This window comes from Homo sapiens, chromosome 11 (genome assembly GCF_000001405.40).
Source record: "Homo sapiens chromosome 11, GRCh38.p14 Primary Assembly".
NCBI lineage: Eukaryota > Metazoa > Chordata > Mammalia > Primates > Hominidae > Homo > Homo sapiens.
In genome coordinates this window covers 127,066,093-127,086,279 of record NC_000011.10, presented here as the reverse complement: position 1 = coordinate 127,086,279, position 20,187 = coordinate 127,066,093, and the positions used below count along the sequence as shown (strand labels likewise).

At 45.1% G+C, this 20,187-nt stretch overlaps 1 long non-coding RNA gene across 1 annotated transcript in view; it reads right to left on the bottom strand.

Annotated features, from left to right (window-relative positions):
* Nucleotides 1–19,278, bottom strand: part of LOC101929473 (uncharacterized) — a 34,305-nt gene extending 15,027 nt beyond the window's left edge. The window contains exon 1 of the long non-coding RNA NR_120578.1: nucleotides 19,163–19,278. This is a non-coding gene — a long non-coding RNA (uncharacterized LOC101929473). The remainder of the gene's footprint in view (nucleotides 1–19,162) is intronic.
* Between the last annotated feature and the right edge of the window lie 909 nt (nucleotides 19,279–20,187).

Genomic DNA, 20,187 nt, shown 5'->3' with positions numbered 1-20,187 from the left:
AGCTCTAGTAGCTCTCCTCCCACCCCCAGTTTGCTATGGGTGAAGAGGATAACTCCAGCACCTACTGCTGAAGCACCTTCCACAGTTCTGGCTGTGGAGGCTCCTATCCTGCTCAAGAGCAGGTGATCCAATCTCTGGCCCAAGACTAAAATGCCTGCATGGCCATGATGCTAGGTCACCAAAGAATGGTTGACTTGTTATGCCCCTGGATTAAAAATGGCATCCTGCTGTCAGTCCCAGTCTGGAAAAATGCCTGCAGCTTTCCCCAGTGTCTTTCCCTCACAGCATCTCCAAGCCTCTCTCCCAGTTAGTTCCAGAGCTTGGAAGAAACAAAAGTGTACCCCTTCCACCACCCCTTAGCCTGGGTTACTTGGATCCCCAGCAGAAAGGTGAGTCAGACAGAGGCTCTTTTCCTCTCTTGTGTACTGAGGCTTCACCGACTTTTATCAGCCAGTCACTTTTATTTCGGGCGCTGTTTGCCAGTGTTCTCCTTCCTGGGATCTGGGATGTCCTTCATGATTCCAGTGGATTCTCATTTTCCATCTTGAATTAAAGCTCACGTGGTTGATCTTTATGTACTATCTTGCTATTTCCAAGTGGCTGAGGAATGCTAAAAATCTCTAAACCACCATCTTGGGAGGAAAAAAACTCAACTTTGTATGAAAGTTGCATGGAAATATCTCATCCCCTTTAGGAGACTAAAAGCCCTTGAAAGCAAAACCTGTATCTGTATGTGACACACAACACTTGAACACATTAGTGCTTAATACGTACTGAATGAGCACATATTAATGCATGCATGGATTCATATACTTGTATGAATACCATGCTTTGCTCACTAAACATACGGTCATTCATGGAGACAAAAACATAAATAAATCACCGTATAAATCAATCACTTAACCATGCATTTACAATGTGCTCATGGTAAGAGCTGTGCATTTGTAATTGCATGCCCATGTGTACTCGTGCTTGAAAAAAAAGAAAAATGAACCCTTTGAACAAATGGGCAATGACTTTCTCTCTCTGAGTACTTCAAGTCATCCTAACATAGGCACCTGTATGAAAGAAAATGAAAACCCTGGTGTTGCTCTGAAAATGCCAGGTCAGATGAAAGAGCTGCTGGGACTGGAAGAAATCCATATGCATTGGCTACATGTAAGGACTGGGGCCAAGACAGGCTGCCACTGACGGGGTAAAGTAACCCAAGCTAAGGATGTGCTTAGAGGGAAGAGAAGTAAACTACAGACGATTCCAGAATGGCTCTAAATGGCAAACATCCTCCCAAATATACAGCAAACAACATTGACATGGCTGACGTGTAGAGGTTGTGTGTGTGTGTGTGTGTGTGTGTGTGTGTGTGTGTGTGTATTCAGGGTGGAGAGGAATATGAGAATGAATGAATGAATGAATTCAGAGCACCCTGATAAATTCCCCCAGGATAAAATCCAAAGCATCTGCTTCTAAGAGATAAACAGAAAGCTCTGCTCCTCAGAGGCATGGCCAGTGGCTGAACACAGAGCTAATCTCCTCTGCACTGGGTCCCAGGCACCATGGCAAATGTGTGTCAAAAAAAAAAAAATATGGAGGTAAAAAAGAGAATCTCACTAAAGGCAGTAATGTGAATTCAAATACTCTTTGCAGTTTGGATGAAAGCAACCAAAAGTGATGTTGTTTCAAAAAGACTAGAAGCACTAGAGCAGAGAAATAGATTAATTTTGGCTGTGGAGATGAAGAGGACTCCCTGGCTAACAGGGTAGGGCCCGGCCAGCTGCCAATGAGCATGAAAATGCTGTGCATTTTCCAAGCACTATGTGCTCCTCCATGGGCTTTCCCATTTGTTGTGTCATTTGATCTTCCAAGCACCAAGGTGAGCAAGCAATACAGGGGTTGTTACTCCCCTTCCATGGAATTTAGCTGATGCCCAATATCCCCCCAGCCTGGAATCCATCTCCTTTATGACCAATCTGTGATTCAGGGCAGTGCTTCTCAAGCTTTAATGTAAACATCACCTGGAGTATGCACATACTGAAATTCAGATTCCAACTCCACAAGTGTGGGATAGGGCCTGGGATTCTGCATTCTAACATGTTCCCAAATAAGCCCCTTGCTGTAGGTGTGGAATCATATAGCTTTGGACACCATATCCATGAGCACTGGGTTTCCATAAAAGTCAGGTTATAAGCTTTTCATTTGGTCAGACATTTTTTAAGCTACTAAAATCCTAGGCCAGATGTCACAAGTAGATCCCAGTTAGGACTGAGTTGTCTTTAGCTCCCAGATGCATAATCACCTGCAGGAGACACCTTCTCAATCCCAATTTAGGACCCTGGAAAAGTCCCAGCCCCTCTCTAGATTTCTATTTCTCCATTTGTGCAAAATCAAAGCACATCATCTCCTAGGCCCCACATGAAGAAGCCCAGAGAGGATTTCTTGTTTGGATTTATTTGACTATGATAAAGCCCCCCAAAAGGTCCTAGAACACTGAGACTCCATAGAGAGCTCATTTCCATCAACACACAAGGAAAACATGAAGAACCTCAACATACTCCACCACCATCTTCATCCCCCACCCAGGGTGAAAGAACAGGCACGTTATCACCATCCAGTCTTTCCTGGGAATGACAGAATGCCAAAGGCGGATCTTACTCGGCATCCCAGAGCAAGGTAAAGATTGATCCGAATGCCCTGATTTGTGACCCTACACAATAGCATTAAGAATACAGAGAAGGTCCACTCCAGACCCTGTTTGCCTGGGTGCCACCAGCAGGGGCTGCAGAACAGCAAAGCTTTGCTGCCTGATTCTTCCTCTGGAAGCTTCATCCCAGAGGGGCACCACTAGATGCCAGCCAGAGCTCTCCTGTATGAGGTGTCTGTCAACCGCTGCTGGGAGGTGTCCCCCAGTCAGGAGGCACGGGGATCAGGGGCCTAGTTGAGGGGTCAGTCTGTCCCTTAGCAGAGCTCGAGTGCTGTGCTAGGAGATCCGCTCAAAACCACAAAAAGATATCATCTCATGCCAGTTAGAATGGAGATCATTAAAAAGTCAAGAAACAACAGATGCTGGAGAGGATGTGGAGAAATAGGAATGCTTTTACACTGTTGGTGGGAGAGTAAATTAGTACAACCATTGTGGAAGACAGTGTGGTGATTCCTCAAGGATCTAGAACCAGAAATACCAATTGACCCAGCAATCCCATTACTGGGTATATACCCAAAGGATTATAAATCATTCTACTATAAAGATACATGCACACGTATGTTTATTGCGGCACTATTCACAAGAGCAAAGACTTGGAACCAACCCAAATGCCCATCAATGATAGACTGGATAAAGAAAATGTAGTACATATACACCATGAAATACTATGCAGCCATACAAAATGATGAGTTCATGTCTTTTGCAGGTACATGGGTGAAGATAGAAACAATCATTCTCAGCAAACTAACACAGGAACAGAAAACCAAACACCACATATTCTCACTCATAAATAGGAGTTGAACAATGAGAACACATGGACACAAGGAGAGGGGCATCACACACCAGAGCCTGTCAGCCGATGGGTGACTAGGGGAGGGATAGCGTTAGGAGAATTACCTAATGTAGATGACGGGTTGATGGGTGCAACAAACCACCATGGCACGTGTGTACGTGTATAACAAACCTGCACGTTCTGCATATGTATCCCAGAACTTAAGTGTAGTTTTTAAAGAAAGAAAAGAGTACAGAGGAAAGACCAGTTCCCAAGTAGCCCCCTCACTGACCAAGCACAATGCCTGCATTCCATATTAAAGCATAGTCCATTAAGTCCTTTTCAGCCTCAGAAATGTATTTCTACAACTATAAACATTCCTGGGAGGACTGTTTAATACCTCTGAACCTTAATCATTTAACAAGATCGAGGGCATTTATTTATTATATTTCTTGTGACAACTAGCTGACACAAAGGCACTCCGAGAACAGAGTGAGGGAAGGGCACAAGGGGTAAGAGAGGACCCCTAAAAGTACCCACGAGAAGTCACCAAAGACTACCATTGCCTGCTTCTCAGCTTTGCGTAAAGTCAGACCTGTTTTTACGCTTCCACCAATACCACCCTGAGTCTCTGGATGGTCTTCAGAACTCACAAAGATGCCCTGTCCCGACACAGCTTTTCTTCTACCCTGCCCCACCCATGCTAAGGCTGAGCTATGCTTGTTCCAGCTGTGCAGGAGACTCCGTGCTGTTTCACAGGACGTGGCTTGGGGACAAGGAGATGCAGTTCCCTGATGCAGCGGCTCAGCACTGCACAGGCGCCCCCTCATGCAGCCTGTTCTCAGCAGGGCCCACTGAGAAGACGACAAAAAATGAGAACTCCAGCATCCTGATTCCCCACTCCAGGGCCCGCCGCCTTGGCCTCAGAGCCAGCACCAGACGCCCTTCAGAGACCGCAAACCTCCAGGAAAAATTAAATCCTCACAAAACACCCTTTAATTTTATCCACTTGCCTTAATGAAGGTTCTGGTATTAATGAACTCAGAGGCTTTTTGTCTGACAGTTCTGCTGGTAACTAAACCCTGTGCTATTTCCCCCGCCCAACAGCCTGAAATCTCAAGCGTTGCCTCTAATCTTATTTTCTATTTCTGGGCTATATTGCATTAGCACCTTTTTATTTCTCCTGGCATGTTTGACAGTGAGTTCAGGCTAGTGAGAATCATCTCTTTGTGCTGGCAAATAGGGATTGCATCGGCTGTTTGAGAATAATGACTTATAGTTAAAATTACCCCCAGGATGTCATAATTACATGGTTGCAGCTTTCTTCTTTGACAAGTTGGAGAGGCGGAGTTCAGGTGGCCTACGGGAAGTTGCTTGGGGTGGAGGAGAAAGATGGATAAACAAATGTGTACCCAGAGCCCCCCAGGAAGCTTGAGGACCTAGAACAGAGCCTGAAGCTACAGCATGCTGTGAGCAGGTATTCAGCTATTCAGCCCCATCTGCCCACCTCCTGTGCACACACGCACACACACGCACACACATGTTCCTTCTGCCCATCCAGAGTTAAAATGAAAGGGCCACTGCACTAGCTTCACTGAGGGTGGCATGATTTTCAGGATCCTCCAGACTCCCCACAACCATGAATATCACACCCTATGGGGTTTACTGCAGTATCTGAAATTTATAAACGAAACACCCCTTTGACCTAACTCATTAAACAAAAGGTCTCTGCTAAAGCCAAGCATTATTTGGGAAGGGTTTCATCATTAACAGCAGTAGGTTAGGTTAACTCATGGTATTCTGCGACCAGTGTTTTCACACTGGCTTTTAGGAGTGAAATAAACATTCTTTTCCATGAACCACATGGCAGAAGACAGTGGGCACATGGTGCTGTGGATGAAACTCTGCCCACTCAGCTCCCACTCCACCCCACCCCACCCCAGGGACTTCCAATGGGGGAGGCTGCTGGGATTCTGGCTTGACAGCCATGCTGTCTAAGCTTGTAGCAGGGCATGCTGGGGAGAGCTATGGAATTGATGAGTTTTGATATCCAGAGACTAGGAAAGGCAAATGTTGAAACGATGATTCCTGTGAAGGTAGGAGGAGGTCAAAGGGGAAGGCCCTGCCACCTGCTGGGATGATGAAGGTCGTGGGCCAAGGGGGAAATGGTGAAGGGTCAGGAAACAACTAGAAATAGGACCAGAGATGAGAGAAGCACACCTTAGGAAGGGACAAATCATACCAAGGGGCTGGGACAGCCTAGTGGTTGTGAACGTGGCCTTTGGCTCCATTGCCCGAGTGATGGAATGAGGCGGCATCGACCCGAGTGTCGGCAGGCAGATTACTTAACTTCTCTGTGACTCAGTTGCATCATTTCTAAAACAAGAAGGATAACATTACCTAAATGTGTTAGTATAGGTGAAGTGCTGAAAACACTGAGGCCCATGGCTTGTCCTTAATAAGCAAATGATATTAATATTATTTTCATGTAGCTATTATTGTTAAAACTGCTCCCCCAGATTCCCAATTTTTATCTTGCTCTTCTCCCTTGGAAGTCTCCAAAATGCTGCATCCGCCCCTGAGGAAGGGAGACGGGAATATTCCAGGGGTGATATGGAAGCTGAATTGGTTGAGTACCAAGGAGCCACAGTGAGGCATGAATGAGTGGATCCCAGGTATTTATCTGTCAGGAAGGTGAACAGGAGCCATGAGGGGCCCTAGGAAGTGAGGTGGGGCACATGGGAAAGAGGATTTTTTAAGCACAATTTCTAATCTGTGTAATTACTGCTGTTGGGCCAAGGCACAAGTGCAGAGGAACCTTGTAGCCCATATTTTTGTTGTCGTTGTTTTTGCCTCCATTAGAGAGACCTTGAGACCTCCCTCAGGTTTTGAAAGAAAATTACATTATTTTCCTGCAGCAGGGCAGACGCAGCATGCAGGAATTAGCCTGCATTACAGCCTCCCAGGATTGCCAGTGGAGGCTTCAGCCTGCAGCAGGGCAGACGCAGCATGCAGGAATTAGCCTGCATTATAGCCTCCCAGGATTGCCAGTGGAGGCTTCAGCCTGCAGCAGAGCAGACGCAGCATGCAGGAATTAGCCTGCATTACAGCCTCCCAGGATTGCCAGTGGAGGCTTCAGCCTGCAGCAGGGCAGACGCAGCATGCAGGAATTAGCCTGCATTACAGCCTCCCAGGATTGCCAGTGGAGGCTTCAGCCTGCAGCAGGGCAGACGCAGCATGCAGGAATTAGCCTGCATTACAGCCTCCCAGGATTGCCAGTGGAGGCTTCAGCCTGCAGCAGGGCAGACGCAGCATGCAGGAATTAGCCTGCATTACAGCCTCCCAGGATTGCCAGTGGAGGCTTCAGCCTGCAGCAGGGCAGACGCAGCATGCAGGAATTAGCCTGCATTACAGCCTCCCAGGATTGCCAGTGGAGGCTTCAGCCTGCAGCAGGGCAGACGCAGCATGCAGGAATTAGCCTGCATTACAGCCTCCCAGGATTGCCAGTGGAGGCTTCAGCCTGCAGCAGGGCAGACGCAGCATGCAGGAATTAGCCTGCATTACAGCCTCCCAGGATTGCCAGTGGAGGCTTCAGCAGACACAAGTGTACATCAGGCCCTTTTTGCAAATGACACTAATTAATATGGGGATTAATGAAAAAGCAAATGCACTTCGGCTCCTTGATTAAAATCCTAAATGCTCTCCCAGACACTCCCGTATTTCCACATGGGCTTTGGCAGCCGCTTGTGCTGGGACAGCTGTCTGACAAAAGACGCACCTCACGTGGTCCACAGTCTTCTTGCCACTTCTGTCACTCCAGCTAACCTGTCACCTAAGGGCCTGACCCACGTTTCAGCTGGTCTCAGATCATGGAGGGTGCAGCTACAATCCGCACAGAAGAAAGAGGCAAAGAGGTGGTATGATCTCATGCAAGGATCCGGAAAACACAATAGTAAGGCCAGCTTTATCTTTTACTATTCAGGGTACCTAAACTGAATGTCCTCCACTCTTATAATAATAATGACACTGCCCCATGCACCTTACAAGTAATGGGGAAGAACTGTGGCAATGGGTGCTGAAGAGCTTTTAAACCCCAAAGCATTGCACAGATGTGATTATTTGGATGGTACTCAGAGACACAGAAGGAGGGGGAAATCGATCCTGCAATGCCACAGAGCACAGTGGAAGTCTTGGTAGAGTAGAAGGGGAGAGTCTCTGGCTAAAGCGGAGGTCAGGTGAACACTAATTTATCTAGTGACAGCTGTACAACTGTGGGACTAGAGACAGCCCCAGAACAGGCCAGACCAGCCCTTTTTCCTGACGATGAAGATGTTGTCCCCACAGAGACCTTCCTCAGCTTGCCCTTCCCCGATGCTGCCCTGAGGACCCCAGTCCACAGGGAGCTCTGCCCCCACCTCATTGCAAGTGGTCAGTTTTCTTTCTTCTGTGTAGATATCTTGCTACCTCTCATGTGCAGTAAGATCTCTGAGCCTCTGTCTGCTGTATGCTGTTCATTTCTTCGTGTTGGAATGCCCCCGTGACACCAAGCCCATGGCCTGGTGCATATACTAGGCTAAAACGCAGATATTAGCCAATAGCCTGAGCTGTTCTCCCTCATTCTTGCAGCACCTGGCTATGTAAGGATGCCCTGGCTTCTCCGTTGAGAAGCAGATGATCTGCTTTGCTATAGCTCCTTGCCTGCAGCACCTCATTGAAAGCTTGACCCAATCCCCTTACCAAGATGCCTCTGCTCCATCACTACAAAGGCTGGGCTGGGGGCAGGAGGATGGGCAAGGGCTCTACACAGGCACAGAGGTGCTCTTCTCTTGAAGAGAAGTGACCCCTTTCCCCCACCCGTCCACACCCTCCAGAGAAACAACTAGGACAAAGCTTTGCAGTATGGACATATGAGGAAGTGGTCCTTGAAAGATGCGGCCTCAGGTCAGCAGACCCGGGTCATCATCTCTTTATCATTAGTGATCATTCTCTCTTCATCTCTCTGAGTCTTAACTTCCTCATCTGTAAAATGAAGGATCTGAACCAGGTGATCCCTGCAGTTCCTCCTACCTCTAAGATTCCTTGACTTACCAAGGAAGATGGGAGGGCAGCCAGGAATGACATGAACCTGGGTTAAACCGAGTCTGTCCCCACAAGTTGGGGCTTTATTTCTGCAGAATTCTCCATCCCAGTCCCTTCCCAAGCCATGGGCAAAAACAGCTCAGGTAGTAATGAAGGTGTGGCTATAGCTGAGCAATTGGATTTAAATCCCACAGAGCCATGGTGCTGGGAAGAGGGGCTGCCCTGGCCAGTCTATCAAAAGACCATTCCAACCAACCGATGTCTTATACATTGGTTTACACACATGCCCTTTATTGTGTCAATTACCCATCAATAGCATTGTTGAAATCTGAAAAAGTATGACTTATGAAGTTGTGCTAAGAGAACATCTGCTTATTACTTATTTCCCATCCTTTTTTTTTTTTTTGAGATGGAGTCTCGTAGTCACCCAGGCTTGAGTGAAGTGGTATGATCTCGGTTCACTGCAACCTCCACCACCTGGGTTCAAGCAATTCTCCTCCCTCATCCTCCCAAGTAGCTGGGATTACAGGTGCCCACCACCACTCCTGGCTAATTTTTACATTTTTAATAGAAACTGGTTTCACCATATTGGCCAGGCTGGTCTCAAACTCCTGACCTCAGGTGATCTGCTCTCCTTGGCTTCCCAAAGTGCTAGGATTATAGGTGTAGGCCATCGCACCTGGCCTTCCCCATCATTTTTGCAGTATCACTTTGCTATTTGTATACAGGCCAGAGGAAGAAGAGGATTGCGTAGGAGGCTTTATCTACACTCCCATTCTCTTGCTTCGTTATGGCTGTGAAATAAATTACATGATACTCTGAAAAAAGAGGGTCAACCCCTTTTAGGGTTGGCAGCTGGTGTTTAAATCCTGATTTTGCCTCTTTCAAGCTGTGTGATTTGGGACAGGTAACAATTGCCCTGATCCTCAGTTTACTCATTTGTTAGTTATTTGTTTATTCATTTGTTAAATTCATTTGTTAGATGACATTTATACCCTATCAGATATGATCGTGGTGAAGATTAAGTGATACACTTAGCCCCCAGCATATTGTAAGTGCTCAGTAAATGGTAGTATAGGTATAAAAGTAGAAGCCAGAATTGCATGTGGAAGTCAGACCGGGGCCACCTTAAGTTTAACCCTCCTTCTGAGTTCCAGACTCTTATTGTGAAAACTTTTAGGTCACTTTGTTTTAAATGGAATAAATCTTAGAAATTATCCTTCAGGATCAAAATTATCACAGGTGACATATTGGGTTCCAGCATTAACTAGGCTGACTCCAAATCTGATATTCCCAGGCTTCTTTGGGTTGCTTTTTTTTTTCCCATAATACAACCTCTTGCTCCATTTTTTCTAAAGTAGGACCTTGCACCCTGTGCTCCCTGGGCTTCCATACCATGCTGCCTCCCAGGCCCCAGCTCCAGGCTGTGACCCCCTCTATTCCAGGAAAATGCAAGCAGTCTGCTCTCTTGCCATATTAAAGTTGTGTCATAACACTCTTGAGATGGCAATTTCTTTTCTGTTGTTCTGTTGAATACATTTTTAAAGAAGATTCCCTCGGCTGCTGGCTCCTCGCTTTTCTTTCTGGTTAGATGCAATAACTACAATCTTGCACATACTTACAAGTCAATTTTCCTTTAATGATGATTTTACCTGCTCTGAAGCTTATCAGAAGGAGGGTTCATGCACCTCAGGTCTCGGCTTGAAGCTTTCAGTGGGCCGCGGCAGCTGTTCTATAGGCAGTTGCACCTGTTTTGAATGTCATCAATGTAATGCTAATATGCAGAGCAATTTGTGATGCAAGAAGCCAGAACCAACAGTGAAAGAACTGTGTTTAGGATTATAAATCACTTCCCCATCAGCTGCTGAGCTTCCTTTGGGATTCAGCTGAAGAGGTTCTGCAGGCAGTGGGACCCTGCGGCATTCCCTCTACTAACTTCTGTTCTCTGAGAGAGGGGTTGAGAGGGACCTTGTTAAATCTGGGCAAGAAGGAAATAGAGGTGGCTAAAGTGGAATAGAGACCATAAGTGGAAGTAGGGAGGAAGGGAAGGAGAGCACATATGAGGCATAAGTCCCCAAATAAACTTGCTGAGATCTGCTTTAGCAATGGCTGATAGCATTTGCAGAGGTTTGAATGGAGAGTTACAGAAGGGCTGCTCTACGTCTTCCCAGGAAGAAAGGCTCCATTGGGGTTCATTCGAAACTAAAGTCTATAATCCTCATCTCAAGCAAGGCTCCACTTCAAAGTGTTGCTCTTGTGACTTTGAATTAGCCTATTTCCATTAGCAAAACAGGAGGGGTAAAAGTTCAGGGTGCAGAACGAATCAGTGATAGTCTGGTTAGTTCAGAAGCTGAACTTCTTGACTTCCGTGGTCCTCCTAAAATGCAATCAGGGCATGGCTGCCTCAGTGAACAAATCTGTAAAATGGATCCAATCAATTTAATGAGGGACCAGGCCTGGAGAGTTTCTCTCTAATGAGAGCTTTGCTGTTTATTAGGACCAAGCTCACCTCCTCTCTTTTTCTGAGGAAGAATGTGGCTGGATACAGCATAAAACAATACACAAGCACAGGACGTAGCTCTCAAACAACCACCCTTTATGTCACTTAAGTTGCATGCTCACCACAAATTCAAAATAATTTTGGAATTAGGCTGGAATACTTTAGGCCCAAGCATATAATTCACCCTGGGTTTGGCAGTGCTGGTAACCCAGAATTTTTTGGAAAGTTGTCAGAGAAGATTTGGGTTTGGTGTGACAGACACAACAAGCTGAAGAGGGCAGGTAGAGAAGCTACTTTATGTCTAAGCTGCTCCTATGCAAGAGTTAAGTGATGGTTGCTGTAGTCCATCAGCTTCCTGGGATAAACAAGGTGGGGCTATCTGCTACATGCAAGATGCCCGTCAACATTCTGCTCCCGCAAGAGCTTCTGTAGCCATTAAGAGCTAAATAAAAGCATGAGGTGGCATATCTCAAATGCAAGACATTGGTGCTTGAGTGCTGCAAGATTTGTAGAGAAGAACTTTTAGTCGGGGAGGGAAAGAGGAACTGAAACCTGATCTGAAATGTGAAGAATTACAGTGGAAGTAGGGGAGGGCATTTCAGGCAGAAAGAGTGGCGTGAACACAGTGTGGCGATAAGAATGAGTATCACACCTCAGGGAGACATGGGGAGGGCAGTACAGCCTAGAATGAGAGAGGCCTTGGTTATGGGGGAGCAATCAGGGCAGGCTACCAAAAGGTCATGGAGTCACCATGCAACACAAAATTAGAAACCCTAAACCATCGGTCTCAGCACTGTGGGCCTGAGACGCAGAGAGTGGGGCATGGGGTGGGGCACCCACTCACAGATTTACCACCTCAACATGCAAGTCTGTTCCCACAGCTGCAAATAGTCTATTCTAATCAACACTAGAGGGGGTTAGCTGCCAGCATGTGAACCCTCAGGTGTCTGCGGTAAGGCAGCTGCACTAGCGCCACACACTCCCAAGCTGACTCATACTTGTGTCTGGTGACAGCTGGGTCTCATCTGTCCTGAGAACAACAATGAGAATCACCCAGAGAGTCTGTGCAAGAATGTCTCCTAGTCCAATTTCTGGTATGATTGTTTTCAAAGCTGCAATAGAACTCTAGTCCCCCTGGATTTCTTGAGGAGAAAATAACAGTTATTTACTTATTGAGTCTATTAAAAATGCACCCATTATCTGAATGCCTCTAGGCAACCGCACAAAAATACATTTTTAAAAAGATGAGAATCCAATTAAGCAAAGATGCAGATGCTCCTGCAGCAAGTAGGCCAACGAGGCTGTTCCTGAAGGGTGGATGACAGCCCAGGAGCAGGATACCCTTGCTCGCCAGTCAGTGCACCCAGGTTCCTCTAAGCCAGAAGGGGAGGAGCTGCAGAGATGCAACCATCCACCCTGTGGTTTCCCATTCTCGTGCTCTGTTTCTTGCCAGCCTTGGACTTCTACCATAGCACTCAGACTGAGCTTAGTGTCTGTGATGAGGTCAGGAAGGAATGCAAGGTAGCTAAGGTAGAAACACCTAGGTGGGAGGTTTGGAAAATGCTGTTAATTAGCTGCCTTGTATGTTATTTTGGCTTCTTGCTCAGCCACAATCTGAAACATTTTTACAGTAGGCTCTACTGTTCCTACAGAAACCTTGTGAGATAGTTAGTTATCTTGCCAAAACTCGCATCTGATGATGTCACTCCCTACTGAGTCTCTTCCCAGGTTCCCGATGCTTTAGGGTCCAGATCCCTCCTCACATGATATGTGTTGCACTTTGTGGTCAGACTCCAGGCTAAATCTCCTCACACACCCACCCCAACCCCACTCTAGTCACACACAACTATCTGTAGGTCTTCAATCTGTTTCAAACTAGTCTACACCTCTAGGTCTTTAAAAGCTATCTTATCTCTATATTATCAGTATCATACCTTCTGCAACTGGACACTTTTTCCTCACCCTTCAGGTCAGCAGAGGCGCCATCTACTCCTGGAAGACTTCCCTGGCCTTCCTTTCTGGAACAAGTGCTCCAAGTCCCGGAGAATCTGAGCACACTGTATTGTAACCTCTTGCTGACATGTCTGTCTCTCTGGTCAGAACGTGAGTTACTCAAACAGCAGGTCTTGTCATTCTGCTTAAGTTTCTCTGTGCCTAGCGGAGAGCATCAAAGCTAAAATGAAGTCTTCCTCTAAGACCTAGTACTGAACCTTGAGTTCTTGAAACGTCAGGCTCTCCTCTCCTGTAAAATAGACATTATAATATTAACTGCTGCCTCATTTTAAAAACTGTGAAGTTGTAGTGAGACATTAAATAGAGACAACAAACCTCAGCATCTTGTGCCTGGTGCATGACCACTGTCGACAAGACAGAGGGAACAGATACGTAGCATACGTCATTCACTTTTTCCAAAGAAGAGACTGAGCTCAGAAAAGCGAACTTACTTGCCTGCAGTTGCACAGTAGATAAGAAAATGGCAGAACTACAATACAAACCTGGCCTTAGCTGGCTTCAAAATCCTCCTCATTTTCTGTGCCATTCACAAGCTCTGCAGACCAGAGATACAACTCACTAGCTGATCTCTGCTCAAATGGCAAACCCAAGGCAAAGTCACCCCCTCTACAGGAAAATTCAGAGTTTCGGGTTCTGCTGGCTGAAGAATTCAGAAAACTTTCTTCGCCTTGATTCTCTATTGCCGTGATTCCAAAAACATTTGTTTATTTCTGTAGACATAGTTGTTCATATCTGGGAAATAATTTTGTTTACTGAAATAAGCAATGGACTGGGAGTCAGCTACTACTCAATAAAATGGCATTATTTATTCAATTTTTTCCCAACCCTTCCTTTTCCCCATTGTAAAATAAAGATTTTGGAATGAATCACCTCTATGGTCCCATCCATCTCTAAACATCAGTTACATATGTGAAATAAGACAGTTAATGCATCCCAAAACTAAATTGTTCTTGAATTGCCCATTCTACCAAATAACACACATTTCTGCTTCCCTCCTTGAGTTTCAATTATCAGCACCTATGAGTTTGTTGCTGCTCTCCACCAAGGTGAGGTCACAGTGGTGAGGTCAGCTAGGGAGAAAACATTCGTGTCAAATACAGATGGGTCAAGCCTCCCTAAGCTCCACAGTCTCCTGGGGAGAGAGAAGCAGGTGCAGGACATGGAAGCTACACTTTTCCCCAGCACCCTGCTCAGAGGCCAGCTCTTCTCTGCTCCTCAGGTCCAATGAGGGGATTATCCTGGAAAAGGAAAGACTTAGGAGAACTGACACTTCCCATCAGCTACACTGCACAACATTGATTCGACTGTGGGCCCAGCAATTGCTACTAAGAGACCATTCTCCACGGGGATAGCAGCTGTGTTTGCATTAACTGTCTAGGGTGACCTGCCCTCCCCAGGGGCTCCCGCACACACTCAACCCCACAGCCCTGCTCAAAACGGGTTTAACTTTCAAGGAAAGAAGCATGTTTACCACCGATGTGATCATTCACAGAGGGAGCCTGAGACCTGCGTCACCAGTGTGATCGTTCACAGAGGGACTGGCTTTGCTGCAGCTGCAAATATCATTGTCATAAGCTTGTCTCTGTCTGGACTGGATCATGGAGAGTCATCAGATAACCCTCCTTACTTGTTGTTAGAGTCAGGGAGCTACCATTGAGATCTCACATCTACCCTAGGCTGCCCTTTATTTACTGAAGAGAAAGCCCCTGTTTGCCGGCACCATCACTGTGGCTCGGCTCGGATGATGCACAGATTGCTCTGTCTACCATCACATCATCAGCATTTCTTCTATTCACACTAGTCCCATCCATCTGGATAGGTTTGTAGTGGAGATGAAATAAATTAATACCTGCAAAGCCCCTACAACAGTGTCTGGTACATAGTAAGCGGTACAAAAGTATTAGTTGTTATTTTTATTTATTCACTGCAATGAATATGTAGGGAGCACTTACAAAGTGTTGGGAAGTGTACCAGGCATTGAAAATATAGCAGTGGACAATGGCGGCCTGCTTCCTCCTAGCCCTCAAGGAGCTTAGATTCTATGGGCAGAATCTGTGAGCATTCACAAAGACTTTCCCCAGAGGATAAAAAACCTGCCCTGTGAAGTGAGAAGAGCAGTCATTCAATTTCCTACTTCCCGAGGTGAGATGTGAGCTCAAACTGACCTGCTGCTTGAGAGGCAGGGAAGGGGACCCACCCTCTGAGCCTCCCTTTGAGCTTATCAAGGCAACCGATGTCAAAGCTGGTCCCTTAGACTAAAAGCCTATCCCATGTTGTTTCAACCTCATGTTTATCTACTGAAAAACCAATTTTCGTAAGACCCCCAGATTGTGTCTCCTAGCAGAGCCTTTCCGGTTAGAATTAATCCCCAAAAACAACCCTTTCAGCAAAATTCTCTGTGAGAGTTAATATTGTCGACTTTATTGGATTGAAGGATGAAAAGTATTGCTTCTGGGCATTGCCAGAGAAGATTAACATTTGAGTCAGTAGATTGGAAGAGACAGACCCACCCTCAATGTGGGTGGGCACCATCCAATCAGCTGCCAGCGTGGCTAGAAAAAGCAAGCAGAAGAAGGTGGAAGGGGCAGACTTGCAGAGTCTTCCAGCCTTCATCTTTCTCTTGTGCTGGATGTCGAACATCAGACTCCAAGTTCTTTGGCTTTTGGACTCATGGATTTATACCAGTGGCTTGCCAGGTGCTCTCAGAACCCAGGAGGCGGAGGTTGCAGTGAACTGAGATTGTGCCACTGCACTCCAGCCTGGGCAACAGAGTGAGACTCTGTCTCAAAAAAAAAAAAAAAAAAAAAAAAAACAGTGTACACCTCTCCCCACTCTGGTTTGGCCAGAGACTGAAGGCTGCACTGTGAGCTTCCCTACTTTTGAGGTTTTGGGACTTGGACTGGCTTCTAAACCAATACTGGTTTCCTTGCTCCTCAGCTTGCAGACAGCCTATCATGGGACTTCACCCTGTGATCGTGTGAGTCAATTTTTCTTAATAAATTCTCTTTCATATATACATATATCTTGTTAGTCCTGTCCCTCTGGAGAACCCTAATACGTTGTCCTTTGTCAATAAAAAAAATTGAGAAAATGATCCCATGGCCACTCTCAATCACCCCATTTTTGGTGCCCCATAAAATCTTATTATTAGGTGATGACTTGATGTTAAAAGGTCAGTCTCTCCACTGCAGCTAAAACATTTCACCCTGGTCTCCTTTTCACCAGACATGGAGAATAGCCACTCAACACCCTTCAGTGAATACCCCTGGGAGGAGCGCCCAGACCTCTGAAATGCCAAGCATATATCGCCTCAAGAAAGTCTGGAATTCCTCTTAGGAATTGATTTTAATTGATTCTTCATTCAACAAATATTGAGTACACAGTATACGCTAGGCAGTAGGGAGTGAAAAAAATAATAAACATTTCTTCATTCAAGTAGCTCACATTCCTGAAGGGAAGAAAATGTAGACAACTTACAATACAGTTGAATGAGTTTGATAATAGAAATATGCATCTAGTGGCTCCTTGTTGCAGGGTAATTTGTTAAAAATGTTATCCCATTGTTGACAGGCTTTTCATCCTCAACTACTGTTGCTGCCCATCTTCTCTGGCAATTCCCTGGATATACCATGTTGATTAATGCCTTCACCTGCCATGTCCTTCCCTACTGCTCCTTGTCTATATAGCAAACTCCTATTCATCCTTTAAAACACTTTTCAGACTATTCCAACCTTTTTTTTTTTTCGAGATGGATTCTGGTTCTGTTGCCCAGGCTGGACTGCATTAGTGTGATCTTGGCTCACTGCAACCTCTGCCTCCCAGCTTCAAGCGACTCTCCTGCCTCAGGTGCCCGAGTAGCTGGGTCTACAGGTGCACACCACCACGCTCAGATAATTTTTTTGTATTTTAAGTAGAGACGGGGTTTCATCATTTTGGCCAGGATGGTTTCGATCTCTTGACCTCGTGATCTGTCCACCTCGGCCTCCCAAAGTCCTGAGATTACAGGCTTGAGCCACCACGCCTGGCCGACTATTCCAACTATTTTAAGCGTTCCCTTTTCTATACTATTGCTTTACTTTTCCATGTTTCTATTTTCACACATGATGTTCTATAAGCTAATGAATTATTTGCGTATTCACATTCTTTACCACACCATATGTTTCTTCAGGGCTTAATACGGTACCTAACCTATAATAGATATTCTTAAATGTTCATTGATGTGTATAAGATACAATAGTAATACTACTATGACCACCACCAATAACTACTATTTTTGGAATTTTTATTAGCCAGGCATTATGATAAGTGGCTCATGTGTATTTCTTCAGTTTTTCCTCAAAACAACTTTGAAGTATCATAGATGTCATGTCTAGTCAGTTATCTTTTACAAATAACGTGTTGTATAAATTATTACTCTCCTCCACTTCTCTCTCTGTCTCTCTCTCGTACACATACATGCAATCTTATAAGCCATCTCAGAACCTCATTTACTATTTTTAGGAGTTCATAATCTGACTTAGCTACCTCACTTCTGTATTCCTACCATACCCTGTATATGTCCATGTACGTGCATCTTAGTCTAGTATAACTATTGATTTGGTTGTTTGCTTCCTTCTTTAGAATGTAAATTCCTTGAAGTCAGGCATGACCCCTTCCCTTTTTTATCCCAAATGACTATCATGGTGCCTATAATATAATAAGTGTTGAATAAACATGTATGGTAAAAGGAAAGAAGAAAGGAAGAGAGTAAATAAGGGAGAAAGAGCAATATTTTCCATGGACCAGCTGAGTTGGTTCATGGAAAACAGTCAAGCAAAGGAAAAACAGCAAGATCAGGTGGCGTATTGGTATCTTTAATCTATAGGTAGCTTCTAAAAAATTTGGACATTTATAACTAGTGAGTTATCGATCACTTGCTATATGACAATCATCCTCATTTTATAGAGAAAAAACTAGGGAATTTTGGTGAAACAAATAACCTTCGTATTCTCAGTTGACCTTAGACAAAGAACTCTTTTACTTCTACCCTATTGCTTTAACTCTTGGATCCAACACTTCTCACTGACAGCCCCATTGGTCTCTTGCATGCTTTATTTCTCCAAGCAAAAGTGGGCAGGACCAATGGAAATTGTGTATGTATCTATTTGTTTAATAACATTTCTTACTATCAATTATGTTCCAGGTCCTCTACCAGGCACTGGGGACACAGGATGCAATCCTGTAAGAGCTTTTCAGAAAGGTAATTGTACACCATTTTCGTGCAGCCTACGATTGAGACCATCCAAAGTTATCACATCAATGGTGGAAACACCTATGTGCTCAGGTAGCCAATACAGCTTTTAAACCTACTTAAGAGCAAGCAAAGAGAAATAATAAACACCTGACATTGAATTGGCCTGGGATTTTCGCCTATGATTTGGAGTGACTTTGGGGGAAACAAGTTAGGCATAGACAAATAAATGTAACGTGTCCACATGATTTTTCCCACATATATTAAGCTATCATTTTATCTATGATAAATGCATTTCCAGAGAAAATCTCCAGATTTATTAGAAGCCACTTACAAAAACCAGGCAACTTGCAGTTCCTGCTACCCATATTTTGTTATCTGACTTGTAGCCAACCTCCTGCAGATCCCAAAACTCATCATTTCCCTAAGACACAGAGGGAGGGGTGGGTTGAACTCATAGCTCCCCATGGAGGAGAATACTCAGAGTGGGCCCACAGTCCTCCCCGGATCTCTTTCTCCATCTTTTCCACTAATAGGTACAATGCAATAGGTGCATCACCCTCCTCCCAGTTCCCAACTTCCACGCGAGGCCATTTCTCAAGGTTGGTCTAGTCCCCAAAGAGCCACTCACTAACTCTCAGCTGGTTAGTTTTACATGGTCAGCCAGATTCCCACCTAAGCTGAGGAGAAGGAAATCCAGCTCCTTTGGGGGTAGAAGCAAGCACTTTCCACCCCTCACCCCACTGCCCCATCTAGAGGCACTGATTCTCTTATCCTTCACCCTGTGACCTCTCAGACACCTGTGGGAAGGCCCCAAGCAAGTATCAATGGATCACCCAGTACCTGATACCCAAAGCGCTCCCCACCCACCTGGGCTCCTCAGACAGCAGGAAGGGGATTATAACCTGTAATTTCTCATCTCGGTTAGCAGGTGACAGGCTCCCATAACATGGCATCCATATGGCGTCACCCCTTCTGTTGAGCACAATTTTAGGGCAAGATTCATACCGCTTCTCTCTGTGCTCAAAATAGATGCCCAAAATTGGGATAGAATTTACATAAGTTGGCTGAAGAGACTGTGTTCAATTAAAAAGCTTTTGTTGCCAAGGAATTTTTTTAGTTGATACATATGCTCCTTTATTGCAGTGCTTTAGGGGGAAAGATTTCAGCACTCTCTCTTCTCTCTCTCCATCTTCCTCCTGCTCTGCCTCCCCCACTTAGTAAATAAGGAGGTGGGTGGATATCTCCCCGGAAGCCTGAGTGAGCAGCAAATGAAGAAACCACCCATATGGAAATAACAGGAACCCTGACCCATGAGAAACAGAAGCCAGTGATGCCCTCTTGCCTAGCCTGGGGCAACGCAAGCCAAAAAGCTCTTCTCTGTGTGTATTCTGGCCTCTGCCCCAGAAAGAATGGGTCCTCCCACTTGCAAGCACCATAAATCCAATGGGATGTGTTTTCCACGGCACTGACACTGAAGTATGCATTTAAAAATATTAAGTGTGTTTTTTCAATCATGAAATGATACCGTTCCTGTGCAAAAATTTGGGAAACAGAAAAGTATAAAGGCAGAAAAAATTCACTGGCAATTTTACCATTCAGAGAACTCTTAACACCTCGGAGTATTTCCTTCCAGCCTTTAGTGAAACTGTGTATATTCACACAAATCTGGGATCGTCAAATATAAATACTTTTGCATTTTGGCGTTTTTGTGGAACATCGTATTGTAATTTCCTGAGCATTTTTCTATATCAAGTACGTTTTAGGAGCAGCACTTTTAATAGCAAAAAACTATAAGGTACTTAACCATTTCTCTATTGTGGATATTTATGTTATTTCCAATATTTTGTTGCTATTTTACTTAAATATTGCTGCATTTAACAGCCTTGACTCTT